At 50.5% G+C, this 27,185-nt stretch overlaps 3 protein-coding genes, 1 long non-coding RNA gene and 1 other non-coding gene across 9 annotated transcripts, besides 2 other annotated features; 2 read left to right on the plus strand and 3 right to left on the minus strand.

Annotated features, from left to right (window-relative positions):
• Positions 1–1,372: 1,372 nt before the first annotated feature.
• On the plus strand, positions 1,373–7,465 carry PRAC2 (PRAC2 small nuclear protein). 5 transcript variants are annotated; one of them, XM_047435918.1, is made up of 2 exons: positions 1,373–1,521; positions 7,035–7,465. In XM_047435918.1, exon 2 carries the CDS (start codon positions 7,118–7,120, stop codon positions 7,388–7,390), a length of 273 nt encoding a protein of 90 aa, XP_047291874.1. In that variant the 5' UTR covers positions 1,373–1,521; positions 7,035–7,117; the 3' UTR covers positions 7,391–7,465. The 5 variants fall into 5 exon arrangements, with proteins under 5 accessions (XP_047291874.1, XP_011523049.1, NP_001269204.1 ...); XM_011524747.2 differs by lacking the exon at positions 1,373–1,521 and adding an exon at positions 3,509–3,580; NM_001282275.2 differs by lacking the exon at positions 1,373–1,521 and adding an exon at positions 5,892–6,020.
• PRAC1 (PRAC1 small nuclear protein) lies at positions 4,426–5,225 on the minus strand. The gene is made up of 2 exons (NM_032391.3): positions 5,025–5,225; positions 4,426–4,606 (listed from the first exon to the last, which is right to left on the minus strand). Exons 1-2 carry the CDS (start codon positions 5,097–5,099, stop codon positions 4,508–4,510), a joined length of 174 nt encoding a protein of 57 aa, NP_115767.1. The 5' UTR covers positions 5,100–5,225; the 3' UTR covers positions 4,426–4,507.
• Positions 5,171–5,685: an enhancer, noted in NCBI's record as "NANOG-H3K27ac-H3K4me1 hESC enhancer chr17:46799826-46800340 (GRCh37/hg19 assembly coordinates)". NCBI's record gives its function as "activates a minimal SCP1, AML or CMV promoter by ChIP-STARR-seq in naive H9 embryonic stem cells {active_cell/tissue: H9 hESC(naive)}" and the evidence as "EXISTENCE:reporter gene assay evidence [ECO:0000049][PMID:30033119]".
• Positions 5,686–6,201: an enhancer, noted in NCBI's record as "NANOG-H3K27ac-H3K4me1 hESC enhancer chr17:46800341-46800856 (GRCh37/hg19 assembly coordinates)". NCBI's record gives its function as "activates a minimal SCP1, AML or CMV promoter by ChIP-STARR-seq in naive H9 embryonic stem cells {active_cell/tissue: H9 hESC(naive)}" and the evidence as "EXISTENCE:reporter gene assay evidence [ECO:0000049][PMID:30033119]".
• Positions 7,115–7,182, minus strand: MIR3185 (microRNA 3185). Its single transcript, NR_036150.1, has one exon. It is a non-coding gene; the product is annotated as a microRNA 3185 (primary transcript).
• HOXB13 (homeobox B13) lies at positions 7,470–11,457 on the minus strand. The gene is made up of 2 exons (NM_006361.6): positions 10,700–11,457; positions 7,470–9,750 (listed from the first exon to the last, which is right to left on the minus strand). The coding sequence occupies exons 1-2, from the start codon at positions 11,298–11,300 to the stop codon at positions 9,497–9,499; spliced, it is 855 nt and encodes a 284-aa protein (NP_006352.2). The 5' UTR covers positions 11,301–11,457; the 3' UTR covers positions 7,470–9,496.
• On the plus strand, positions 15,690–26,172 carry LOC105371811 (uncharacterized). The gene is made up of 3 exons (XR_934823.2): positions 15,690–15,829; positions 16,096–17,363; positions 25,831–26,172. It is a non-coding gene; the product is annotated as an uncharacterized LOC105371811 (long non-coding RNA).
• The last annotated feature ends 1,013 nt before the right edge of the window (positions 26,173–27,185 follow it).

Here is a 27,185-nt window from a genome sequence, read left to right on the forward strand (position 1 = left end):
TATATTTTGAAATTCTTAATAATAAGAATGTGTTACTTTTCTAATCAAGAAAAAAATTTCTTCTTTTCATTTGTTTGTTTTCTAGAGACAGGGTCTTGCTCTGTTGACCAAGCTGGAGTACTTTTCTAATCAGGAAAAGAAATTCTTCATTTTATTTATTTATTTTCTAGAGACAGGGTCTTGCTCTGTTGACCAAGCTGGAGTAGACTAGGCTGGAGTGCAATGGCAGGATCAAGGCTCACTGCAGCCTGAAACTCCCTGGCGATCTTCCTACCTCTGCCTCCGGAGTAGCTGGGACTACAGGCAAGTGCCACCATGCCTGGCTAATTAAAAAAAAAAAATTGTAGAGACGGAATCTGGCTATATTGCCCACGGTGGTTTTGAACTCCTGGCCACAAGCAATCCTCCCATCTTGTCCTCCCAAAGTGTTGAGATTATAGGTCAGCTGCGGTGTCCAGCTGAAACTCCTCTTTTTAAATATGGGTACAGCCTAAAAGACTAACTTTAGGGAAATCGTTTTCTAAATTATGACAACTTCTTTCATTGCATATTATGCAATCTAAAAATAGCACTTAGAAGACTGCAATAACTTGAGGAATTGCTTAGGACACAGAAAATGTACAGTATGTTTTCAAACCAAATTAGGTTGTGTATAACTAGGTTGAGGGGAAGGGGAACAAAAAGTAACTATTAACAGTGGTTAAAAATTATAAAACATACACGTTGAAACAATTTTTTTAATTTAAAAGGGGCTGTTTATAAAAAAGTTTTAAAAGTAGCTCTGTGTTTTAAGACCCGTGTTCTACTTGCTGCGATCGGGATAGTTTTTTTTTCCACTTTGAGGCTCTTTTTTTTTTTTTTTAAGGGGCAGGAACATCATTTTGCATCAGGCCCTGTAAAAAAAAAAAGGGGGGGGGGGTGGGTAGGAACCAGGATGTTGGGGAAAATTATTTCAATGTGTTGAGTCTGAAGCTTTTTGGAAAGCAATGTAGATGTGATCTCGTTTGCTCTGAATCGAATTCCACAGAAACCGCTGTGCCGAATACTGCAAATCCTTAACTTTCATAAACGCCGGCACCGAACTCAACGCAAAACTACCCAAGTGCCAAAGACCATTTCTGGGAAGCTCATTCCATGAGACCTTCGCATTTTTCCAAATCAAAGGCTTCCCTTCGGATCTAATTATTTCTCCTCTACAGGGCTGCGGGAGGGGGAGGGGATGTGAGACTAGGGCAACAGATTAAGATTGAAAGTCCTTTCTCGCAGCTTCATTTTCGCCCCCACACTGTCCCAAATGCTTAGAACCCTCCTCGTCAGAATGGGAACGGTGCCCCCGCTTGTCCTAAAAGACACAGACCAGGTCCGTGAACTTGACCCAGGCGCCCACGCCTCTTTTCCCCGAAGGTCAGACAAAGGCAGAAGGGTTGGCTGGATTCTTTCCCGGGCCGCGAAGGCCTGGGGATCGCAAGTTGAGGAGGAGAAGACCGCAAACCCCTTTGGTTCAAGCAAGCTCTGCGGCAGGTAAAAGGCAAATTGGTGGGGACGGGTAGGACAGGGAGAGCATTATCTGGCTAACTCCCGCAGGCCTCTTCCGATTTGTCGGCGGGGACCTGACTCCCTGCGGTGTCTCTGGCCCCAAATACGGAGGCCAGGAGCTTTTCGTTGTCTCGCCCGATTTGGTATCTTATTAGCCGGTGTCGCTGAGCCGCGGGGGACTCCCGGCTGGAAAGGAAGCCCTGCGCTCGAAGCGCCCCACGCCAGACGGAGTGGCCCCTGCGCCTCCCCGCGCGCCGGCGCGCCCTGTTCACCTTCGACTGGATGTTACCGAGCCAGGGAGAGACCCGGAGATCGAGTGTTTGATCTTCCCTTGCTCCAGGATCCTGAATTCTTTAAACACACTCGCACGCGCTCGCACACAAACACACACACACACACACACACACACACACACGCACACGCAGCACTACTACCGTCTGAGCAGGCCGCTCCTCGCAGCCTCCGCAGTCGGCGGGTCGCCTGGAAAGACGCGCCGGTTTCCCGGGTCGGATGGCTCTCCAGGCCGCTATTTCCTCCGCCACCGAGTAGGGAGACGCCCCATTTGCGAAGTTTAAGTTTCCAGGTCCTGGGAAGGCAGCTGGGAAACCCGCGGGGCTCGGCAGCCGCCCTGGTAGCAGCCAGGGATCGGATAGCGCGGCGGGCGACAGCCCCCCGGATAACCCCGCCGAGGGAGGGGCGCTTGTAAAACCGAGCGGCGACGGCCTCGTTACGACCGACTCGAACATTCTCTAATAAATCATCGGCCTTAGCTAGTATTCGTTTGTGTACGCATCTGTTTATCCTGATTATTAAAATAAATTAAGGATTAGACTGCCTAGAATAAGGTAAACGAACATGAAATGCCAAGGAGGAAAACAGAAAAAGTTACACCATGTCGATCCCGACCAAAACATTGGCCTGACTTGCCGGATGGCCTCAAGAATCCGGCTTTTAGCTGCAGGCCCGGCGGGTGTTCCCCGGAAGGCAAGGATTGGAAGCTCTTTGATAAAGCCGCGCGAGGCCCGGTTTCTCGCGTTTCGGGTCGCTCCACAGCCCCCTCCGCCCTTCCCCTCCACCCCTCCGCGTCTCGGCCTGGCTCCGGAGGGGTGAAGGAATGTTTATAGCCTGACTCAAGTTCAATGACAAAAACCTGCCTGGAATGGGAGGTGCGGCGAGCTTCAGCCATCAACATGACAAAGGCTGGACGCAGGTCTCGGGCGGGGGCGACGGGCTGGGCCCACCTAGAGATGGGGAGCTGAGGGCCCACAGGATGGGTACGGACCCCGCAGACCAAGAGCTGCCTCTCTGCCCTCAGCCTGGGGTCTGCGGAGTTTGGCGAGTAGTGCGGGTGTGTGCCCGCCTGGATGAGGGTAAGGCGATCAGCCTCTGAGTGGGCAAGGGGACGTCTGATTACTGCCCAGGCTTCGCCTGGGGGTCCAGGACCCTGTGAGATGCCCCTGCTCTCTGCCTGGCCAGCTCTAGCTCACCCGGAGTAAGGATCCGCACCGTCCTTCTATCCACCGCGACCTGCATTTTCTGGCCTCCTCCGAGTTTTGTTCACATCTTCCCTCCCGGATTTGATATTCCAAGCATCTTCTCCAGGGAAGACTCCCAGAAGCCTTGCTTGTCTGTGTGTGTGTGTATCTTTCTCTTTCCCTGTTCCCCGTCCTGTTCCCCATTTGTTCTGATTGTAGTCATTTGGTCATGGAATAAAATCCTCTGGCCTCAGGTCACATATGGGGAAGCTGCAGACCCAAGATTTACCAGCATAGGAGTCAGGCCTGGTGGGAAGGGAGAGCATATTTCCAACTCTTTCCTCCTGTCTTCCACCCCTAGTGGAAGATTTTGCATACTCAATTAATGAGTAGTTGGTTGACAAAAATGTCCACACGTGTTTAATCCCCTGTTTGCATATATGCAGATCTGTCCAGTGCCTGAGGAGGGGCTGGGTCTAGGGTGTTTGGGTGCACCTGTGTGATCTCAGCTGGGTGACTCCGGATGGAAGCAGGTGCTTGTTAGTGTCTGAAGGGCCTTGCAGGGAGAGGTATGTTGACAATAGAGGAGTCCCTGGGCTTTCTATTTTTTCAGTTGGTGGTAGAGGTTAAGCGCTCCTGTTTTGGGACCCAGATCAAGTAACTTACCCTCTTAGTTTCAATTTCTTTAGGTTATAAAGTGCTCACTCAATTGTGGGTTTTGTCATTATGGGAGGGGGAACTGGCAGGGAAGGAGCCAGCTGTGGGGAGAAGAGAGTTAGGTGAGTCCTGAGTGTTTTTGTGGATTACTGTGCCCACCCCAAGACCAATGACTTGGCAATATCAGTGGTTGGCTGAAGATGTGAGCATGTGGTCCCCAGCCTGCTTCTGTACTGGACCCAGAGCCCCTGTGCGCACACATGCCTGCTGTGGCATTGATCCCACACTTGGCAAGGCAGAGCTTCTGAGAGGGTGCAGGAAAGGGAATAAGGAAGCCAGGGGCCCAGAGAAAAAGGTGCAATTATTATTATTATTATTATTTGTCACAGAGTCTCACTCTGTCACATAGGCTGGAGTGCAATGGCATAATCTCAGCTCACTGCAACCTCCACCTCCCAGGTTCGAGCAATTCTTGTGCTTCAGCCTCTTGAGTAGCTGGAATTACAGGTGTGAGCCACCATGCCCAGCTAATTGTTGTATTTTTAGTAGAGACAGTTTTCACTATGTTGGCCAGGCTGATCTCAAACTCTTGGCCTCAAGTTATCTGCCCACTTCAGCCTCCCAAAGTGCTGGGATTACAGCCATGAGCCACTATGCCTGGCCCGTTTTTATTTTTTTAAGGCCCAGAGCTTTTGCCTTAAGGATGAGTTAGTTTAAAAAAGAAAAATTGTTATAATCACAGTTAACTTTCACCCAGTTTCCTTTTTTAAAAAAATTTTATTGTATAAATAGAGACAGCGTCTTGCTACATTGCCCAGGCTGGTCTGGAACTCCTGTGCTCAAGGAATCTTCCTGCCTCGGCCTCCCGAAATTCCAGAATTACAGGCTGAGCCATCACTCCTGGTCTCGCCCAGTAGATGTTTCAAAGTAGATGTTTTCTAAAATATTTTACAATATTTACAAATTTTAAATAATAATAACGTTATCAATATTAATTTTGCTTATGCCAGGACTCCATCCCATTGGAGACAAACATTAAGTCTTATGGCAGACCTTACAGCGGGTGCTAGTTCCCACTCCCAAGCCTCTCCCCCGCCTAGGTCCTGCAGGTCCCGCGTGCTGCGAAACATTTTCTTTGTCCCTTTCTGCCCAGGGCGGCTGCCGGTCTCTCCAGGAACCGCGAGTAGGTGCTCCCGCCAGGTGGTATCGGTGAAAGCCTGCTGCTCACCCTTCCCTTGTTTCCCAAAACTTCTGAAGGCTCCCAAATTCCTGGGAGACCCTCTCCCAGGGCCTCCTGATGCAGCTACCATACTGAGCGATCCGTCGATAACGCCCTTGGCCCACCGATCAGTTTACCTTATTAGAGAGAAAAGCACTCTTGGAGGTAGTAAGATGGGCCGGTCCTTGATCTGAGAAATGGGCGCACAACATCGCTGTTCTCTCTGCAAAGGTGGGGACCAGAATCCAGCTTGCCTGACCTTGCAAGCAAGCATCGGCCTAAAGGTTTCAGCCTCCCAGTGGCGCTCTGTTTGCACGCCTTAGGCTAGGAGAGGAAGGACGGGAGCACAGCACTGGGTGCCCCTCTCCCTGTAGAGTCTGGGGCGGGGCTCAGTAAGAAGGCCTGCGGTTGGTGGCTCCCCACCTCATAGCTGCAAGTAGGGGCGAAAGCTGGAGTGTCTCCTCCCAGCAGCCTCCTCGCCTCCCCGCAAACCTCCGAATCTCCCTGGACCTCCTGGTTGCTGTGGCCCTTCCTCCCCTGATTGGCTTCCTCCCTCTTTCCCAAGGCCAGAGAAGTCCTCTCTTCCCCTCACCTTCCTCCCTCTTCCCATAAAACTTTTAGGAAAATGGGGGCGGGGGCGGTGGAGACCACCAGCCTGGAACTTCAAGTTCAATGGCAAAGTCCCTGACCCTCCCCCCAGGCTGGGCGCCAGCATTATTCTAGGGGCGATTAAACTCTTTTGCTGCCCCCTGTGCACCTCCCAGTTCGGGGGCAGTTTAGGGGAGGAGAGAAGGTAATGGTGGAATTCTTTCCCTCACTCTCCCCCGACCACTTCGTCCCCTCCCCCTCATCCCCTCTACACAGAACTAACTGGTAGGGAGAGAGGAAGAAAGGCTGGCATCGGTTCCTCATTGGATGTTTTAAATCTGTCTCAGGCCCAGGCCAGTGCCTGGGGGGAGGGGCGGGGTGTCCTGCTTTTGGGCTAGAGGCCCGGGGCCGCTCCCGAGCTTTCTCCCCTCTTCCCTGGAGAGCGACTGTTCGGGAGGGTGAGAATGGTATAAATTTCAAAAACAACGAAACCTTCTTTTGCCCCCTCCGCAGCAGTCGCCTCCGGGCTTTATTGCAAGTTTACGGTAACGAGTTCATCTATTTAATTCGCGGTTGCAGCTCGGGGATTTCTATTAGACAGGACGGGTTGGGGCCGGGGGGCACAGGGTCTCCCCTGAAGGAAACCCAATTAGAGTGCAGCACTTAGCACCTTCAATATAACTTTAATGAAGGGGGGGAGGGGAGCTGCAGGGAAGAGAAGTTTGCTCTAGGTTGGGGAAGGAAAGCTGGAGCTGCTCCCGAGAACTGGGGGGCCTGGATGAGGCTTTTTCCTGCTTCGAGGGCTTTCCAGCTTCCGGCCCGGGAACTACTATTTGGAGTAGGGATCGCCTGCAGGGAAGGCGGGGCGGATTCTCGGCTGGCGGCGGCCTCGCAGGGTTCCCGGAAGCGCTAGCCAGCCGGAGTAAAACCCGAAAGATGGAGCCTCAGGTTCGCGCTCTGCGTTGCGGGTGCTGGAACCGAGATTCAAAAAGAGCTTCCGGAGGTAGTTTCTACGCATTGCGCCACTACTCCCTTATTCGGCTTCTGGAGGCCTAATAAAATCCACTTGCTTTGGAGTTAGAAATTATTTCGGGCCTGGAGCCCGCGTAGACGCGACCCTGTGATCCCATTTCGTAGCTTGCTGAGAGATTCGCTGCGGGAGTTTGGCTCTGAGGGAGGGGAACGGTCTGGAGGGCAGCTCAGGGTACAATTGCGCCTTGTTAGTGAAAAGGCGCCCTGCTTATTTTCCGGAGTATATGTGTGTGCCTCTGCGTTTATTCGTCTGTGAGCTCATTGTCTGGATTCACCTATTGTGACATTGTGTTCACACGTTTGTCCGAATGGTAAGCAAAACATTTCCTCCTGTAGCTTAACATAGCCCTTATGTAAAAATAAATATCTGCAGGCGAATATAGGTTTGTAGATTTTGTTGTGATTTAAACACAAATAAGTGAGAGATTTCAATGTGGTCGTCCAGGGATAGGTGGGAGACTAAAATTGGGAAGGGATTCCCAATGAAAGCGTTTAATACAAAACGAAATTAAATATTTTTTGCACAGGTTCCATACAAGTAAATCCGAAAAAAAGTGTGTGTGGGGGGGTCCACACCACTAATTATTATGGCGAGGAAGATAAAGAAGACATGGACAGAAGGCGGATGGCTCTGCGGCCTGGCTCCCGCAGACCGACCGCCTTCTTCTTCCATTCGAGATGGCTCGTACCGAACCTCCTTGCCTTCTTCCTGGGTCTCTCGGGGGCTGGACCAATACATCTGCCGATGCCCTGGCCGAATGGCAGGCGACATCGGGTCCTGGACCCCCACACGCAGCTCAGTACCCACGAGGCCCCAGGCCGCTGGAAGCCTGTAGCTCCGCGGACGATGAAAGCCTGCCCGCAGGTTCTCCTGGAGTGGTGAGCCTCTGTCGGAAGGGGGCGCCCACGTCTTTTTAATGGTCCTAACACACCAGTGGAATAAATCTCTAAGATTCCACATCTTTTGTTTGCTCTGAATTTATTGCGAGTGAAAAACAGAGAAAATCCTCAAGTTTAAGTTTCTGATAGCAGAGTGTGGGAGTTAGAGCATGGGGAGTCCAGAGGTTCCAGACCCCCAAAGGTCTCTACCAGGGCCATCTCCGTTAGTGGCGGTGGCAGCCCCTCTTGTGGCCTTTTTCCTCTCTCCAAGGGGTCACCCCGCACCATGCCGCTCCCCCTCATCTATCTTGCCCCCTCCCCACAGGCCCATCTGCGCTGAACTCTCGCCAGTTCCGAAGTCGGCGAGGGAGGGGGTTTACTTGCCCGATCGTTGGTGGGTTTGAGCTTATAGAGGCAGAGGAGTAAGAACCTGCGATATTGAAAGCTACCCACATGGGGCTTCCTTGAAGGAGGACGTGGAAGGCAGAAAGTGACCTGCTCTGAGCGGCGCATGTAACCGAGGACCTTAAGCTGGACCACGGGGCTTGGACGATTTTTTAAATCAGGAAATCGACCTCATCTTCCTCCTCCTCGTCCTCTTCCCCTGAACCCCCAGTCCGCATGCACTCACACTCTTTGGCCTTTTCCCTCAGTCCCGGGCTCCTCTTTGGTAAATAGATTTGTAGGTGTCTAAGTCACGTCCCACCCTCACTCCTTCCCAGGAGAGGAGACAGGGCTAGGATCCCACCCGACCGCGGGCCATAAACACTTGGCTGCGGCGGCCGCCGCGGGGTTTCTAGGAGAGCTGGCTCCGGGAGGGAAATGTCCTCGAGGTAGTGGCGGCCGCGGCCCACCACCAACTGCTCGCCACCGACCCCACTACTCGCCACCGACCCGCTGCTCGGAGCTTCGGTTCTGCGGGTTGTCCAGACTTCAGGCCTGTGCGCTCAATCGTGGAGAATGCGCCGGCAGGCCCCCCACCCCCAGCCTAAGGTGCAGGAAGGACCAGCACGAACCCGCTGGCTTTGCTGCGCGGCCAGGAGATGAGTCCCACCGGGCACTGAGCCCAGGTACAGGACATCAGAGAATGAACACAGAGGCAGAGGCCCTCATGTCCCTCTCAGAGTCCCGGCTCTGCAAAGAGCCCGTCTGTCTCCAGCTTCCAGAATTCCGCACTGTGAATCTGTCTACGTGGACTGGGAAAACAGGGTTGGCACCACTCTGCCACTCCGTTTGTGCCTGGGAAGGGCTAAGTATGCAAGGCTACAAACATCTACTTCACTGGGATCCCAAATGCTCAACAAACCATGACCTGCTTTGGTCAGAACCACCAGAAATATTAAGGGAAGACTCAGAGAGTTTGGGGGAGGAAATTAATGGTGAATTACCCAGGCACTTTCTCAAATCTCTTTTTCTCTGGAAGGAAGGACTGACTAGGGGCAGCCTGCTGGCTTCATTTTCACACGACAGAAAAATCATCGTATTAAGGATGGGTGCTTCCAAGACCAGTGGGTACACCCTATGGGGTGGACAAGGAGGGAGGAAGAGACAGCCTCTACAATTGTCCACCTACCCAGCTGTCAGCTGAGAAAAATGCTAAACGGACATCACAGCCACACAACGAATCTGCCCGTTCCCCTCTCCTCAGTCTTCCTGCTGTTACCAGGGTGAGAGGTGTAATGGAAGGGGGTCTGAGAGAAAGCTTCCCTGCAAAGGGATCGCCTTCCAAATTTATTCATAATTAGCTCAATTCATGAAAGCGGTTTCTAAAGTGCTCTACAGAGCTCTAGATAGAAAATATGAGGCTAACGATCATGGCAGCTAGTACTGGTTATCGTGATTATTGCCACTGTCAGGATGAATGATTATGACTGGGCCAGGTTCTTTGGGAACCCTGGTGGAGTGGGCTGTCACATGGGGTTCCGTCTCCCTGCACATACTGGGTACCCAGGCCGCTCCTGAGGAACAGTCCAGCAGCCAGTGGCCTGGGAAGGGTGTTGTCTCTAGGGGCCTCTCAGCAGAGTCCTTGGCCCCAGCCTGGGCTTGGCAGGTTCCTGGTCTCCCCAGGACACCCCCACTTTCGCTCCTCCCACCCAGGCAAGGAGATCTCTTAAGGGGTAGCGCTGTTCTTCACCTTGGCGAGAACCTTCTTCTCTTTGACCCGGCGGTTCTGAAACCAGATGGTAATCTGGCGCTCCGAGAGGCTGGTGGCTGCCGAGATCTTGCGCCTCTTGTCCTTGGTGATGAACTTGTTAGCCGCATACTCCCGCTCCAGCTCCCGCAACTGCCCCTTGCTGTACGGAATGCGTTTCTTGCGGCCGCGACGAAAGGCGCAGGCGTCAGGAGGGTGCTGCCCGCTGGAGTCTGCGCGGCGTGAAAGGGAGGGAGGAAAAGGCATGGTCAGATACCCACCCATGCAGACCCAGGCCTTGCAAGCCCCAAGCTAAGTCATCTCACAGGTGCACACAGGTCACCCTACAGGCGCACGTGCAATCCTGTTCCTCCAAAGCATACCAGGACAGCACCCTGGCTTCCGGCTTGTTCTCTCACCACCGCTCAGCCTTGGCTCCTGAAGGCCACCCTCACCCATCACTGCTCTCACACCCGCGAATCTGCAAACATACCCACACACCACACACAGTCAGGCCTTTGCCCACCATCACATACGTCCAGTCTTCATGCATTTCCAGACTCTTGGCCACTCTTTTAGATTCTACAGGCAAATTCTGGAAACACGTTTCTGCCCCCACTCCCAATACATGCGCATACACACACACACACACACATTAACCCATCCCAGTGCACACACATATGTCACGGCTGCAGGAAACCTAAATTTTTCTTTGGAAATTGGAAAACTCATCTAATAGAAAGTGAGAGGTTGTATTCTCTACAGTACATCCAATACCTTTTTACCCATCTCCCACACCCACTCCCCACGCACCGAATTGAGAGTTATTTAGCTTTTGTGTAGAATTAGTTTGGAATTGTGCTGGGTAGGGACACCCTGATCCCCACTCAACAGCAAAGAGATCTAAACCTCTCAGACATGTTGAAAGGCTGGTCCCAGGGCCTCCTGGAGAAGTGAGGTGGCCTTCAGGCTTCAGATAGCACCCAGCTCAGGCCCCTCACACTGACCTCCATCCAGGCCCTCCAGCTACTCAGACCTCCTTCAGAGTCCTAATAACCAAGGGAGGAGCACCAAGCTCATCCTCACCAGCTCCAAGTCTCCCTCCTCCTCCTCCCAGGGAAATGCCATTGGGACCCACAACCCCAGGCTCAGAGACAAGGGGACCCAGGGTAATAGAGGTACCTGCAAATGCTGCCTTCCAAAAGGGACCTGGTGGGTTCTGTTCTCCCTGGCAACACATCTGGCTGTTCCAGCCACCAGCGAGAGCCCAAGACTGGTAACTGTCCACAGGCAACAGGGAGTCATGTCGCGGTTCTCCAGGAGCACCCAGAGTCTGCACCACAGACACGTCCAGGTAACTGGCCATAGGCTGGTAGGTTCCCGGATATCCCGGATAGAAGGCAAACTCAGTGGGGCGGCTGGGGTACTCTTCCCCGGCCGTGGGAGTCTCCGCGGGGTACGCGGCCAGGGTGGCTGCCTGGGCACAGGGTTTCAGCGAGCTCCGGGACACTCGGCAGGAGTAGTACCCGCCTCCAAAGTAACCATAAGGCACGGGAGCTGGGGACGTCCCCTGGGGCACCCCAGGGCATGGGTGGCATTGCTTTGGCGGCTCCGCCGAGCCTGGCAGATCCAAGGGGGCATAGTTGACAGCAGGCATCAGCGTAGGCGCCGCTGGGTGGCTGGTCAGAGGGGAGTGGGCGACCAGATTCCGCCCCCCTCCCGCTCCCAGCAAGCCTTCGATATCCTTGGCTCCATCCAAGGTGGCATAATTGCCGGGCTCCATGGAGCCGAGGGTCGGCTCATGAGGTGCGGGGGCGGGGAATCTAGGGGGCACCCAGCTCGCTCTCCCCACCCAGGCCGGGGGAATCCAAAGCGTTTTAAATCGCTCCCAGCTCGCAAGTCGCCTGCATTCGCTCAGCACGGCCGTCTTGACGCAAGAGACGCAGGGGCCCGGGCACGCGCGCTGATTGGCTGCGGCCTGGGGGAGAGAAGCTAATAAAATCCTAAAGGCAGAAACTGCGAAAATACTTTACCCCAGCTTATTCTCTCTCTCTCTCTCTCTCTTTCTCTCTCTCTCTCTCTCTCTCTCTCTCTCTGTCTCTGTCTCTCTCTCTCGCTCTCTCGCTCTTTCTCTCCTCTCTCTCTTCTCCCTCTCTCTCTTCTTTTCCCTCTCCACTCCTCTCTCTCTCATTCCACTTAAAAACAACAAGAGAGAAAAGGAAGGAGGTGTCCTTTCGCTGCTTTCCAGTTTGCAGAGTCTCATTTACACGTCCGGGGGGAGGGGAGGCGTGGTGGGCGGAGGAAGAGGGGACGAGGAGCCGGGCCCCACCTCCTTCTCCTCCTCTCCCTCCCTAGCTTTCTGTCTCCTGCGCTTTGACAGGTTTAACGAGAGAATAAAAAGCTCTCTCTATAAAGTGTCCATCTCCTGGGGGGGAAGGGGAGTCGGGGGTGGGGCTGGGAGGCCGCTCCCGGCCTCAGAGGAGAACCCGGGAATGCGCCTGTGTAAGAGGAGGCTGGGAAATGGGGGTTAATAGGTATTTCTGGCAGCCCCTGGCTTTGGGTCCTGGGTACTAGCACCCCAGTTCATTCCCGGTACCCTTCCTGTCCCAGATGTCCTGGAATGAGCTGCTCCGGGCCCCAGGGAGGTGCCCTGGACGCCCCTTACCCAGGGACTCGCTACTGCCCAGAATGCTCTGGAGGCCCTGATTCGGGTGAGGCTGAGGGAAGAGGCGGGAGACACGAACGTAGACGTAGAAGACATGCGATCTGGATGGAACCCAGGACACTCCACTTCCGGACCTGAAGGGGAAATGGAGCCTCTAGAGTGGCCTGTGGAAGGGTCTGGATTTCCCTTTAAGTAAAGACATACGGAGGGACGGAGACCCACAGGACTTGAGGGAGGGACGGGGAGAGGGAGAGATGAGACTCAGGGACAGCAACACAAAGAGGGAAAGAGAGAAGCTGACAGAGCGGATGGGACAAAATCTTGTAAAATCCTGAAGTGTCAGTCAGAAAAGAGAAAGAAGAGAGGCACTTTCCCCCTTTTTTGGGATCTAAAGAAGTCTGAGGAAGCCAAGCCTGGCTGACTGCCAGAAACCAGCTGCGGGAGTTCTGGACCCCAAGAATACAGACGCCTGTGTGGAGATGCCAGTCTCCCTGCCCTGCAGTCCTCTCCCTATGGTCTGCAAGGGGCCCAGGAAACTGTCCCTGATACTGGCATACTCCCACACAAGCTGAGTACCCAGAAAGCCCAAGACCCCTATCTGCCTCCTGCAAGCTTTAAACTTCCTTACAAGGAAAAGGGAATGGAAGGGGAAACCCCAGCCACTGGCAGAATTGCTTGAGGCCCCTCTGTTGGGGCCTAATGTGCAGTGCAATTCAGAAGAATCAAACGGTTTGTTTCACAAATCTGTCTTTAGAGGTTTTCCGCTTCCTTTACTACCCCTCCCAAATCAAATCCTTCTGTCTGCTTTTTCTAGAACTCCCAGTTTTTCTGGAGAAGACAGGAATGTTTCCATTCTACACGAGGGTCTTGACAATTATATGGAATGGCTTACCCTAAACTCTGGGCAGACTCAATCATAGCCTCTCACCAACCTGACCTTGAACTTGAGCCACTTTGTGGGAAAGGGCCCACAGGCAGTAGTGTACATCACTCCTAATGAGCATTGCTATAATTGAAGACACCAAGCACGAAATCTTCACTAGATCGCATTTGAAAACAATATGGAAGAAAAGGGAGGAGATGTCTCTTCAGTGCTTTCCAGTTTCTCACCAGAGTTTCTTGCTTGTCTAATTATGAACTGCAGAAATATCCAGACTTTTACCTAAAGACTAAGAATTTTTCACCAATTTTTACTTGGTAGATGATAGATATGTAGGGCATGTCCACAGTTTTAGTTTCCACTAGGCAAACACCCACACATGCACATTTATTCATCCTTGTACAGTAGAGGCATTAATAGATCCCTAAATTTAAAAAATAATAATAGTCATAGTCATGCCCTATGACCCAGCAATTCCATTCCTGGGCATAAACCCAACAGAAATGAACCTTTATATCCATCAAAAGTCATGTACTAGTAGGTCCACAGCAGCTTTATCTGTAGTTGCTCAAAGCCACCCATGGCAGCGCACGCCTGTAATCCTAGCTACTAATCCTAGTGGAGGTGGGAAGATCGCTTGAGCCCCGGTGTTCAAGACTAGCCTGGGGCCAGGCACAGTGGCTCAGGTCTGTAATCCCAGCACTTTGGGAGGCCAAGGCAGGTGGATCACTTGAGGTCAGGAGTTCGAGACCAGACTGGCTAACATGGTGAAACTCTCTCTATACTAAAACTACAAAAAAAAAAAAAAAAAAAGCCAATTGTGGTGGTGGACACCTATAACCCCAGCTACTCAGGAGGCTGAGGCAGGAGAATCGCTTGAATTTGGAAGGCAGAGTTTGCAGTGAGCCGAGATCGTGCCACTGCACTCCAGCCTGGGTGACAGAGCAAGACTCCATCTCAAAAAAAAAAAAAAAAAAAAAAAAAAAAAAAAAAACCAGCCTGGGCAACAGGGGTAATAGGGATAATAGGGATACCCCATCTCATAATGAAATCAAAATATAGTAGCTCAAAACTAGAAACAACCCAAAAGTCTATCAGCAGTAGCATGAATAAAGAAAGCACAGTATAATTATACAATGAAGTACTACACAGCCATTTGAAAAAGAATAAACCACTACTACACACAACATTGATGAATCACAGATATGTGGATGAAAGAAGCCAGACACAAAAGAGTAACTTTTGTATGATTCAGTTTCTACATTTCTATGCAGTTCAATGACAAGCAAAATTATGGTATAGTGATAGAGGTCAGAATAGAGATTGGCATGGGGAGAGGTCTCCTGACTGGAAAAGGACATAAAGAAGCCTTCTGGGGTGCTGGAAATAGTCTCCATCTCAATCTGTCTGCTAGTTACAAGACTTTGTTCACTGTGAAAATTCATCAAGCTATACACTTGGTATTTCTGCACTTTATTGCATATCAGCTATATCTCAAATGTTAAGGAAAATAATTAAAAACAAAAATTTTTTTAATTCATTGCAACACTTCCTGAAACTGTGCTTTTGGATGTATAGCATTCTTATCCATGTTCATTGAAATAAGTAGCCAAGTGCATGTAACTGCAGTGTTGTGGAATGCAGAGATGGTTAACTTAAACTTGGCGGGAGTGAAGGTCACCAGCTGTGCTGGAGACCCTCCTGTAAATGGATACATTTCAATACAAATAAATTCTATAGTGCTTGTTTTATTTGCTTTACAATTTATTTAGCATCTGCTAGATCCCAGGGAACAGTTCTGGATCTCATTTTTCTTTCATTTCATTTCATTTATTTTGAGACAGAGTCTCACTCTGTCACCCAGGCTGGAGTGCAATTGTACAATCTCAGCTCACTGCAACCTCCGCCTCCCAGGTTCAAGTGATTCTCATGCCTCAGCCTCCTGAGTAGCTGGGATTACAGGTGTGTGCCACTATGGCCCAGCTAATTTTCTATATTTTTAGTAGAGACAGGGTTTTGCTGTGTTGGTCAGACTGGTTTCGAACTCCTGGCCTCAAGTGATCCCCCTGTCTTGGCCTCCCAATGCGCTGGGATTACAGGCATGAGCCACCACACCCAGCTTTGGATCTCATATTTATTAACACTTGGGTATGTGCCCCTATTTCCTGTACATAGGTATGTGTGTGCATCTGCCCATGACCTATCATAGATCTCAACCGGCATCAGGTAAAGTAAGATTAAGTCTCCTTATCTGTAAAATATGGATAATAATTCTTTCCTCACATACTGTGATGATATAATGAGATTTTGCACATAAAAGCATTTCACAATCTGAATAAATATGAGCTCTATTTGTATTCCTCCATGTGTTTCTGTTTCTAATGAATTACAAGCAACCTGCTTTTACCTGAAAAGGACAGTTGCCCTAAAGAGTGTCAGTCACTTCTCACTTGCCCCCTCAGCCCTGCGTAAGCTACATAGTTCTCGCATCGGGAAACTGAGGCTCAGAGCCTCCAAGTCCTCCCTGGGGCTCTACATGGGTTCAGCGGGGAAGTCCCTGCACAACCCAGGCGTCCTGATCTTCCAGACTGACTGGGCTGAGCCTGGCCTTCCCCTAACCCCACAGATGCCTTTGTGTCCTGCTGGGAGCCTCCTGGCAGACCCTCCGGGAGCCCGGAGCCTCCCCCAGCTTTCTTTACTGACCCAGCCAAAAGCGCTGAAAGCCTCAGCGTGCTCCTTTACATACCCGCCAGACACCTCCAGGAAGGTAAAGGCCAAGTTGAAAGTTAAGAGTCTGTTTACCTCCAGGAGCCCATTCAGCTCGGCCCCACAGACAGCCTGTGACCTTTACAGCCCGGCCTTTGAGCGCGGCCGCCGCGCCCCCGGGGGTTCCGGCAACGGGGACTTGGCACCTCGGTGTCAGCTCCCGCCCCCACCCAGGCTAGGGACCCGCCAACGAGGGGTGGGGGCGGGAGGCGCCCACCCGTCGCACTAGTGGGCATTTGCTAAACTACGTTTTATTTTTTTGTAAAGTGAGCGCCCGCTGCCTTCGTTCTCCCAACTGGAGCAAACTCTGTGGCGGCGACGATGGCGGCCGTCAGGTCGGTGGTGATGAATAGAGAGGATTTCTCTGCAGCGCGACGCTCCCCTCTCCCGAAAGGTTGGCTCCACGGTCCCGCCGGCCGCGCAGGTCTGGCTGAACTGCTTGGGGTCGCCCGGCTCCTCTCGATTTTATGAAAATGGCCTAATTGAGGTGTGCTCTTTTCTTTCCTTCCTCTTTTCATCTTTTCCTTCCGTCTGCATTTTCTCTCCTCTGTCTTAGGCTTGGTATCTTCTTTTCTTTTTATATTTGTGTTTTTCTCACCGCCTTTGCTTCCTTCCATTTCAGTTATCTTGCTTTTTGTGTGTTCTTTCTTGATTTCTTTCTTTCCTTTTCTTGTTATTGCTCACTCTCTGGCTCCGCCACCCACCCCTTGCTCTATCTTCATTTTCCCTTTAGTACTTTTCTCCCTATCTTTCATCTCACTTACACTATTTTTCTCTTTGTTTGCTTTTTCTTCCTCATTTTTCCTTCTTCAGTTTTCTCATTTTTCCTTCCTCCTTCCTTTTTTTTCCTCTCTCTTCTCTATTTCTTTTTTCTTTCTCTCATCTCCGTTTTACTTCCCTTCCTCCGCCCGCCACACACGTTTTTCCTTTGCAGCGCTCTCGCCCAGTTTTTCCATTGTTCTTCTCTGAAGTCTGGAAAGGGCCTGCGGGGCTATAGCTCTCAGCGGCCGGAGCCTGCGCTTGGCAGGGGACGGCCTGGAGGACGGCCTAGTGTGGCTGGTGGGTTCGCGGAGCCCTGCCCTGGAGCTCTGCCTGAGGCTAGAACAGCACCCGCTGGAGATGAAGGGTGACTCCGGCCTTTCGCCCTGAAACGAAGTCAAGCGGGGCCTCTCCTGGCCTTAGAGGAAAATCTTTTGGACAACTTGACAGAGGGATCCCAGAGCTAAGAGCTCAGAGGATGGAGGCATGGCTGGTCAGGAGGAGGCCCCTCTCACCTCCTCCTTCCTTCTCCAACCCAGTCAGCCCTGCGACATCCTCAGGAATTAGAACCCTCTCGGGATAAGCCTAAGTGCCTCTGAGGCCAGGGCTGAGGGAGCCAGCTATCAAAACCATGGGACAAATGGATCTGAGGAGGAATCGAAGGATGGACAGCTGAAGGGAGAGGCTTGCTCCAACAACAGGGCGGCCACGGCAGCTGCTGCGCGCCCTGACGCCGCCTAGAAACCGGAGGAGGGCCTAGCCAAGCCCAGAGAACTGTGAGTGGGGTCCAAAGAGGAGGGAGGGAGGAGAAAGGGAGGAAGGGGGTCAAATATGAGGGTCACTGAACACAGACCAAGAGTCTCCCTTCCTCTGGTCCGGCAGCTCTAGGGGAACAAGCCAGCTGTTCTTGCCTATCACGCATCACACGTGCTGAGTAGGGAGACTGGCTGGCCCCAGAGTCCCCAGCCCCCTTCTCCAAACCTGGGCTTTAATGGGGAGTTACCCAATTCGGAGAAACAGCCCAGATCAGACCCCAACCATTAGGAAGTCTGGTCCTAGGTGGCTGCACTGCAGAGCAATGCAGAGTCTCATGTAAGGTTCTGTTCTAGCTCAGTGTGCTGGACCAAGTCAGTTGCCCTCTCTGTGCCTCAGTTTTCCTATCTGCACTGTGTAAGGAGGGAAGGACTGGACCAGCGGACCTTTGAATCCCTGCCAGTGTTCACCTTGCACAGAAGAGTGACGACGGGCAGCAGGAGGGAAGGGAGCTTTACCGGAAGGAGAGGGAAGAAAACTGTAGAAGGAACAAGAAAGAGTCCAGGAAGCTGCCACGGATTTTTCATGCGTGTCTAGTGCAGGCACGGTTATTAGTGCTTTGAGGGAGCCCAGCCTCTGTGGAGGCAACTGTCATGTTCTGACTCAGTTGGAGCAGCCAGCCCCACAGTGTAAATTCTGCAGTGGCTCATTAAAGGGGACCAAACTGTGTGGGAGTTCACCTCCTCCCTACTTTCCCTATAAATCCCTCCAGCCACCCAGCACAGAGACACTTGAAAGTAAAGGAATAGGAATGGGATCCTCAAATGGGGACCCACAATTAGAGTCTTTAGGGGTTTCAACGACTTCCAGGGTCATGGGAGACTGGGCTTTCTTTGTTCCAACCCCTGGGATACTGGATAGGACTCAGGAATTAGGAATGTATCAAAAAACCTATCTGCAAATTGAAGAAAGCAATTTGAGTCACTTCAAGCTCTCCCACCATCTCCACTTTGTTTTTCCTTTCAGGGAATGTGGGTGTTGATGATATAACTATTAGGAAAATGCTGGCTACTCTCAGGACTGCTAGTGTAGACCCTGCCAGAGATAAAGATCGAGTCTTCATTTCTTAAATCAAGAGGAATGTCAGCACCAAGGCCCTGGCCCCTCAAGTCCTAAACCCACCTATTTGGCCTGAAGTGGAGCTGTAGCATTAACGCCTAGGGGAAAGTACAGTTTGAAAGATTTGATTTCTTACTTTGATTCCCCCATTTACCTTAATGAAAGTCCTGGGATCCTTCCAAAAACCCAGAACGTGACCATCTTGTGGCCTACCTCCCTCCTCACTGTCCCCTCAACCCCAATCCCTACAGCAAAAGCCTTTCCCCTGTCTTCCCACTAAGATCTCTGTTCCAAGAAACAAAGTTGGGAGAGGAAGAAGGCAGGCATTTCGCACACACACAGACACACAAGGTGGAGGAAAAAAATGGTCCATAATTCATCCCTACCAAGTCCTATCCAATTCATGGTGCTCATGGGTTCCCACTCCTGAGTGCCACAAAAGACTACCCTCTTGGGGCTCAATGAAGGCTTGAAAATAACACTGCTCCAAGAGTATCTGCCTTTCTGAATCTCAGCCCCAGCTTGAGATGAGCATTGGGCAGTTCCAAGTTACTGCCCTGAGGACTCTAACCTGGGGAAAGTCCATGTTAGCCAGGCCCTCAAGGTTCTGGGCCAGCCATTTACCCCAAATCCTGACACCTTCTGAGACTGGAGAAGTCTGGCTGATGGTCTGCAGCCTGTCTGCATTGACCCTACTAGTCCAGAAGTGATATCGGGCCATACACATAGGACTCCTCATCAAAGTGGGATTTGGGATTGGAACAGAGCTCTGGGCTTTTAGTCTGCCTTGGCTCTGAATCACTTGAACTTAAACTGATCATTCTTTCCCTTTACTCCTTCAGAGGTTTTCTAAGAGTTCTGAGAGGGAAAGTAAAATGCTCTTCACTTTAAATTGTAAAATCATGCACTTAGGAAGGCCGAGGTGGGAGGATCACTTGAACTCAGGATTTCGAGACCAGCCTGGGCAACATGGCGAAACCCCATCTCTACAAAAAATAGCCCAGTGTGGTGGCACACGCCTGTAGTCCCAGCTACTTGGGAGGCTGAGGCGAGAGGATCACTTGAACCTGGGAGGTTGAAGCTACAGTGAGCCGAGACTGTGCCACTGCTCTCCAGCCTTGGTGACAGAGTGAGACCCTGTCTCAAAAAAAAAAAGAAAAAGAAAAAGAAAAGAAAAAAGAAAGAAAAAGAAAAAAAAAAAGAAAAGGGAAAATTACTCGGAGGTTTTTTTTTTTTCTATTTGGTCCCTGTAACGTCTATGGTTTTGTTCATAATTGGAAGGGACTCTAGCCACTGCTGAAGAGACAATGAAGATCTTTGCTCTCCCCTCATGTTGCTCATAGGTAGGGCTTGGATTTGAGAGGAGATTCCAATTCTGGAGGCTACTGTGTTGAAACTGACACCAGGGGAAGCTTAGAAGCTTAGAAAAGCTTCCTCCTGGCCGGGCGCAGTGGCTCAAGCATGTAATCCCAGCACTTTGGGAGGCCGAGGCGGGTGGATCACCTGAGGTCAGGAGTTCAAGACCAGTCTGGCCAACTTGGTGAAACTCCATCTCTACTAAAAAATACAAAGAATTAGCTAGGCGTGGTGGTGGGTGCCTGTAATCTCAGCAACTTGGGAGGCTGAGGCACGAGAATCGCTTGAATCCAGGAGGTGGAGGTTGCAGTGATCCAAGATGGTGCCACTGCACTCCAGCCTGGGCAACTGAGAGGGACTCCTTCGAAAGAGAGAAAGAGAGAAAGAAAGAAAGAAAGAAAGAGGAAGGAAGGGAAAGAAAGAGAGACAGAAAGAGAGAGAGGAAGAGAGAGAAAGGGAGAGAGAGAAAGAGAGAAAGAAAGAAAAAGAAAGAAAAGAAAAGAAGGAAGGAAGGAAAGAAGGAAGGAAGGAGAATCCTTCTATGAAATCCTTAATTAGGGCTCTCTGCTTAGGGGATATGTAGAGCTCCCCACCTTTCCCTTCTCTTAAAGAGCAGAGAGCTCCAAATTCCCTGGCTCCCCAAACTAGTCAGTTGGTGTTTGGGGTTAGGAGAATCCTTGGAGATCATGCAGTGCTAGCAAGCTTTGTACTTGGGTAGCTGGGTGGCAGATGCCTTGGCAAGTTTGCTGTCTTGCCCAATTCAGAGAGAAATGACCTCAGGCAACCCATGGCCAGTTCTGTGGTACCAGGCAGCTCTGAGCTACTGAAGTGGGAGCAGGAGAAGAAATAAAGAATACAAAAGGCAGACAGCTATGGCAGCTGGATGCAGTTTTAGAGTTTCTGGTGATGCCCTGACTGTTCTCCATGCCTGCCCCAGGAGAATCCAAAAAGTCAGGCAGTCCGGGACTTGTGTATGTGGAAGCTCACACATTCAGGATGTTGTTCTGGTTCCAGCTCAATGTCCACTAAGTCCTAAGGACTCAAAGCTTGGTCACAAGGGTAGCCCCTCCCAGGCTGAAAAACTGCTGGTCTAGCTCTGTGAGGCAAGGCCAGGGCTCCCCGTTTCTTAATTTCGAGGTGAACCTGGAAACTTTCCCTAGAAATGGTGCTTAGCCCCAGAGACAGGTTGGGGAGCTGGGGAAGAACCATGGGAAGCAAACCCTGGTCTCTCCATGCCCTCCACCCTCTCAATAACCTGTCCGGCCCAGACCCAGCCCAGATCTCCAGCTGCCTTGGGTGGGGGATGCAGATAGAGATTGTGGGGGCAGGGGTGCTCTCTGCCCTGGAATTGGAATCCCCCACACCAGTCTACCGGTAGATTCTGCTTCCTTTGCCCCTTTATCCTCCACCCCCATCTGCATGGTTTTTCTAGCCTCGGGAATCACCTGCCCTGGGAGTGCAGGCCAAGCTTTGGACGAGGGAAAGCACAGACTGACGCCGACCAGCCCATCCTCCCCGGCCTTGCACTGCCCGAGATCCGTGCAGGTCAAGCGGGCAAGGTGGGACGCTCTCAGGTGGGAGAATTCATAGGAATTAAGGGGAACCCACTAACTCTTCATCAAGACTAGAGGCCAGCCTAAAGAATTTTCCCCCTTTTTGTCCCAGAGACATTCTTTCCTTCCTTCTGCGTGTGTAAACACACCTGGTCGGGCAGATTTTTCAGTAATCCCAATACTGAGTCACCTCACCGGCCGGGGTTTACTCCCCAGCTCCTGGATGGTAAAGCGCCCTGCGGCCCGCGGGTCAGGTCTTTAACGGTCCAGCCAGCGCAGCAAGAGAGCTGGGGAGTCTTCTTGCAGTCCCTTCCTCCTACTCACGCAAAGATCTCCTCTATGCTGGTAGGTGCACCTGCCCTCCACCGATCCTCACCCTGAGCGCAGGTCGTACCTCAAGGCGAAAACCCGCTTAGTGCGTTGGCGGGTGGAGAGCTGCCGCCTTCTTGATCCGGGACTGAGAAGCTGCACTCCCTGACGCCACTGTGGCCAGCACCTCGGGCCGCGCAGACCCCTACATCTCTAATCCCATAGCCCTCCAGGGGTCCTTGGGGCAGTCCCTTTGGAAAGTCTTCGAAGTGCAGGGTACTTTAAGTACCCTGTAGACGCCTTTTATTTAATCCGCACAACAAAAGAACGGGGCAGGAGTGGGGGGAAATTGTTACTTCCGTTTTGTAGATAAGAGAACTGAGCCGGGACGGTGGCTCACGCCTGCAGTCCCAGCACTTTGGGAGGCCAAGGCCGGCGGATCGCTTGAGCCCAGGAGTTCCAGATCAGCCTGGCTTGAACCCTGAATTTCTGTTGAATCCGAAGTTGGATGGTGCAGTGAGCCGTGATTGCGCTGCTGCACTCCAGCCAGGGAGACAGAGGGAGAACCAGTCTCAAAAAAGTAAAAGAAAACAAGAAAGCTGAGGTTTAGGAGATAATTTGTCCAACTTCTAGAGGCAAATCGAGGCTTTATGGCACCAAATCCTGATTCTGATATTTTCACTTCTCTTCCCTCTCCAAACACAAATCGTTGACACATTTTTATTTTATTTTATTTTATTTTATTTTATTTTATTTTATTTTATTTTGACACAGGGTCTCATTCCCTCACCTAGCCTGGAGTGCATTGGCGCGATCTCGACTCACTGCAGCCTCGACCTCCCGAGCTCAAGCAATCCTCCCACTTCAGTCCCCTCAGTAGCTGGGACCACAGGCACTTACCACCACGCCCAGCTAATTTTAAAATTTTTTATAGAGACGAGGTCTCGCCATGTTACCCAGGCTGGTCTCAAACTGCTGAGCTCAAGCGACCCTTCCACCTCAGCCTCCCAAAGTGCTGGGACGACAGGCATGAGCCACTGCAACCGACCATGACAAATTTTAAAATGGAAATAAATTTCATTATATCTCATTAGTATCTCAAACTAATACTAAAAACAGACTTAAGATATTTGGGAAATTATTAAAGGGAAAAGGGAAAAATTAAGGAATTTGGAAAAATCAAAACATGAACTCTAAAATAAAGAAACCCGGCTGGGAGTGGTGGCTCAAGCCTATAATCTCAGCATTTTGGGAGGCCGAGGCAGGTGGATCCTTGAGGTCAGGAGTTCAAGTCCAGCCTGGCCAACATGGTGAAACCCCATCTCTACAAAAATAAATAAATAAATAAATAAATTAGCCGGGCGTGGTGGCATATGCCTGTTGTCCCAGCCACTCGGGAGGCTAAGGCAGGAGAATTGCTTGAACCCGGGTGGCAGAGGTTGCAGTGAGCCAAGATCGTGCCACTGCACTCCAGCTTGGGTGACAGAGTGAGACTCCGTCTCAAAAAATGAAATAAAATGAAGAAAACCCTTTAATACACTGTCATCTTTTTTATCAGTGCCCCCCATGACTTCTAAAACTACAAAAGTGGGAACCAATTTCTGTCCTCTTCCTCCCACCCCATTCCTCCCACCCTGTTTTACTTTGGAGGCTGAGTCCACATGAGTAACAAAGGAGCTATACCTGGCAAATGTTCACCTAGAGTTGAATTGTGGGAGGCTCAAACTCCTCTAATGGCTCTGTTACCCACACTGACAGCAGAAAACTGTCATGTTTGGGTCAACAAGCATGGTTGGGTCAACCTGGTGCCAAAACACCTTCCAAGCCTGTCCCTTCTATGGGGGAAAAAAATGGGTATTTGGTGGGCACTGAGGATTCTGAATTTGATTTTATGGGTGGCTCTCAAAGCCTCACCCTTTAAAATTGAGGGTGAACATTGGTGTACATGTGTGGTTTTTTAGGACATGAGCCTACTGCTTTATTCTTTTCTTTTTCTTGAGACGGAGTCTCGCTCTGTTGCCCAGGCTGGAGTGTGGTGGCGTGATCTCGGCTCACTGCAACCTTCGCCTCCCGAGTTCAAGCGATTCTCCTGCCTCAGCCTCCTGAGTAGTTGGGATTATAGGCACACATCACCATGCCTGGCTAATTCTTGTATTTTTAGTAGAGACAGGGTTTCACCATGTTGGTCAGGCTGGTCTTGAACCCCTGACCTCGTGATCCACCCGCCACAGCCTCCCAAAGTGCTGGGATTACAGGTGTGAGCCACCGTGCCCAGCCTATTGATTTGTTTTCTAATGGCAAATTTTACAGATACAGAAAAGTAAACAAAAAAGTGTAATTCAACCCCTCATACCTATCACTCAGCTTCAACAATAATCAACTCATAGCCCATCTTATTGCATTTCTTTCTGGAGGTTTTTTGTTTCGTTTTGTTTTGTTTTGTTTTGTTTTTTTGAGACAGAGTCTCACTCTGCCTCCCAAGTAGCTGGGACTACAGGCGCCCACCACCACACCTGGCTAATTTTTTGTATTTTTAGTAGAGACAGGGTTTCACCTTGTTAGCCAGGATGGTCTCCATCTCCTGACCTCGTGATCCACCCACCTTGGCCTCCCAAAGTTATGATGAGCACCGGGCTCAGCCTTCTTTCTGGAGTATTTTAAAGCAAATCCCAGACTTCTTTTCTTTTTTTTTCTTTTTTTTTGTTCCAAAATTCTTCAGTTTGAATCTTTAACAGGTTTAAAAAAATTTTTTTTTGTTTTTAGAGATGGATCTTGCTCTGTCACCCAGGCAGGAGTGCAGTGTCACTGAAGCCTTGAACTCCTGGGCTCAAGGGATCCCACGCCTAGGACTACAGGACTACAGGCATGTGCTACCATGCCTGGGTACATTTTTTTTTTTTTGGTCGAGACGGGGGTTCCCAGATGGGTCTCAAACTCCCTTGTTCAAGTGATCTGCCTCTTTGGCTTCCCAAAGTGGTGGGATTATAGGCATGAGCCACTGCGCCCAGCCTAGTTTTATTTTATTTTTTGTAGAGACAAGGTCTCGCTTGTTGCCCAGGCTGGTCTCTAAACTCCTGGCCTCAAGGGATCCTCCAACCTTGGCCTTTTGAAGTGTTGGGATTATGGGCGTAAGCCACTCTTCTTTTGCTTTTTTTATATATAACCTTTATGTGATTGTCACACAGGACAAAATTGAGAATAATTCCTTAATACTATCCATGTTTGAATTTCCTAAGTTTTCTCAAAAATGTCTTTTTACAGTTAGTTTAAGTCAGGATCTAAACAAAGTTCATACATTACATTTGCTTGATGTCTCTCAACTGTCTTATAACCTATAACAATTGCTCCCAATCCATTTTTCATGCCATTACTTTATTTAAAAACCTGGGCCAACCCAGTTCTCAAAAGGTATTGGACATCCTCAGAAAAGATGACTGCTCTATGTTGAACCAAACAACTGATTCTTACAGGTTTCTTCCTCACTTGTCCTCTGGCTGTGGCAGCCAGATATGGACAGGAGAGCTACATCCTTCCCTCCACTCCCTGCCAAAGAAAGGAGAGCTGGGATAAGCAGTGCCCTCCCCTGCCCACCCACTATGTCACTTTCTGACTCCCTTTGGTCCCCTCATTGCTCTTGGAGTGAGAGACCTCATTCCTTCTCTCACTGGAGGCAGCCAAGAATGGGATCCTCTGGTGGGTCTTTGGATTATGTAAGTTTCAAACACTGGATACACAGCTCCAGATCTAAAGGCAAGATTGCTGCTCTAGAGGCAGGACTGTTCATTTCCTGCCTTGGGGATGCACCCAGAGGCCTGAATGCTTCCCAAGGAAACCAAAGAAAGAACATGGTCTGTTTCAGAGGTGGAGTGGCCAGTCTAGCTCTGCCATCTCTCACTCCTTCCTGCCTTTAGGGTACCACTGAGGTGGAAAGCCTGAACTGCTGTCTCTGCTCTGGCTTGTGCTCAAGCTGTGTGTCCTTGGACTGGCCATCTCCTCTCTGCAGCCCTCGGTCTTCTCATTTGTAAAATGGAAGTGATCCTCTCTGCCCATACTTCCTTACAGGGCTGCTTGGAGACAATCAATCAAGATGAGGGAAATTGAGATTCTACAAAGAGTGTGATGCCTACATAACAAAGTATTGTTTTTCTCACAGTTGGTGGTATTTGAGGAGAAGGTGAAGATTTTGGTTGGAAGAGGGACCAGCAGACAAACTTGTTCTCTTGTGTATAAAAAGCCATAACACGCCCCACATCCCTCAAGCTAGGAAGAAACCTGGGCTGGATGGTGACCCACTGGAGAAGCTGTGACATCCTAGCATGGGGAAGAGTACCAGGATGCCCACTCCTCTTCCCCAGGAACCACCAAGGAGCCTGGAGCCTGGCTTTATCTCAGCCCTGAGTCCCCCTCTCCCGGTGCGCACACCCCTAACTTTTTTTTTTTAGATGGAATCTTGCTCTGTCGCCCAGGCTGGAGTGCAACGGCAGCTCACTGTAACCTCCACCTCCCAGGTTCAAGCGATTCTCCTGCCTCAGCCTCCCGAGTAGCTGGGATTACAGGCGCGTGACTCCATGCCTGGCTAATTTTTGTATTTTTAGTAGAGGTAGGGTTTCACCATGTTGACCAGGGTGGTCTGGAACTCCTGATCTCAGGTGATCTGCCTGCCTCCACCTCCCAAAGTGCTGGAATTACAGGTGTGAGCTACCGCGCCCGGCCAATCTGGGGCTCCTAGCTTTGGTGCACCAACTACTCAAATCCCCAACTTCTCTCCAAGAGGAATTTCAAGAAACACTGACCAATCTGGTTACAGAAGCTGAAGGGGCCCCAACCAGGCTGCAATAAACCTGCTTTACCCTTCTAAGCTGAAGTCTCTCTTGCCCAAAACTTTGTTCTCTGGGACCTGGTGAGAGGGTGACTCCGTGAGTGCAGAATGCAGTGCAGACGTTATTGAAGAGGCCTCACATTTTTCATTTCCAGACTACACCTAGCTCGTAAGAAGCCAGGGAATATAATAAATTCTCCCCTGCAGGACCTGGTTTTAATTAATTATTGGGTTATTCAAGGTGACTCATGTGTGAAATGCAATGTGCACTCGTAAACTGAATCTCACATAATCCATTCTAAGTAACTGGCTGCGAGCTATCCTCTCCAGAGACTTACACAAAACTTATATTTATCCTTTGAGGGTCTTGGGGCAAAATGTAAGGGTGACTTCAGTTTAAAGAGAGCTCACTTGGCTGGCTAGGGGTACTAAGAAACTGGGTCTTGTTTTCTCAACTGCTGATTTGATGAGGTTTATTTCTTAGAACATCTGGTGTTTTTATATGTATAGTATATATATAAGATATATGTATACGTGTATACACACATATACATTTATATATTTTAGTCATTTGTTTTGCAGTATCTGCAAAGGATATGTGAAGCCAGCTCATTGCAGAATAGAAATTGATGCTGAGTTTTTCTACAGCTAACCTGGCAGCTGAAGCTCCTCCTACTGCCAGGACCTCT

This window comes from Homo sapiens, chromosome 17, assembly GCF_000001405.40.
Source record: "Homo sapiens chromosome 17, GRCh38.p14 Primary Assembly".
NCBI lineage: Eukaryota > Metazoa > Chordata > Mammalia > Primates > Hominidae > Homo > Homo sapiens.

Coding starts and splice junctions, on each gene's coding strand:
- PRAC1 (NM_032391.3), bottom strand. CDS start 5,099: ATGTTGTGCGCCCATTTCTCAGATCAAGGACCGGCCCATCTTACTACC. Junction 4,607..5,024: donor GTGCTTTTCTCTCTAATAAG/GTAAACTGATCG, acceptor AAAATATTTTAG/AAAACATCTACTTTGAAACA.
- PRAC2 (NM_001282276.1), top strand. CDS start 6,412: ATGGAGCCTCAGGTTCGCGCTCTGCGTTGCGGGTGCTGGAACCGAGAT. Junction 6,479..7,034: donor TTCAAAAAGAGCTTCCGGAG/GTAGTTTCTACG, acceptor TTTTTTGCACAG/GTTCCATACAAGTAAATCCG.
- HOXB13 (NM_006361.6), bottom strand. CDS start 11,300: ATGGAGCCCGGCAATTATGCCACCTTGGATGGAGCCAAGGATATCGAA. Junction 9,751..10,699: donor TTGGAAGGCAGCATTTGCAG/GTACCTCTATTA, acceptor CACGCCGCGCAG/ACTCCAGCGGGCAGCACCCT.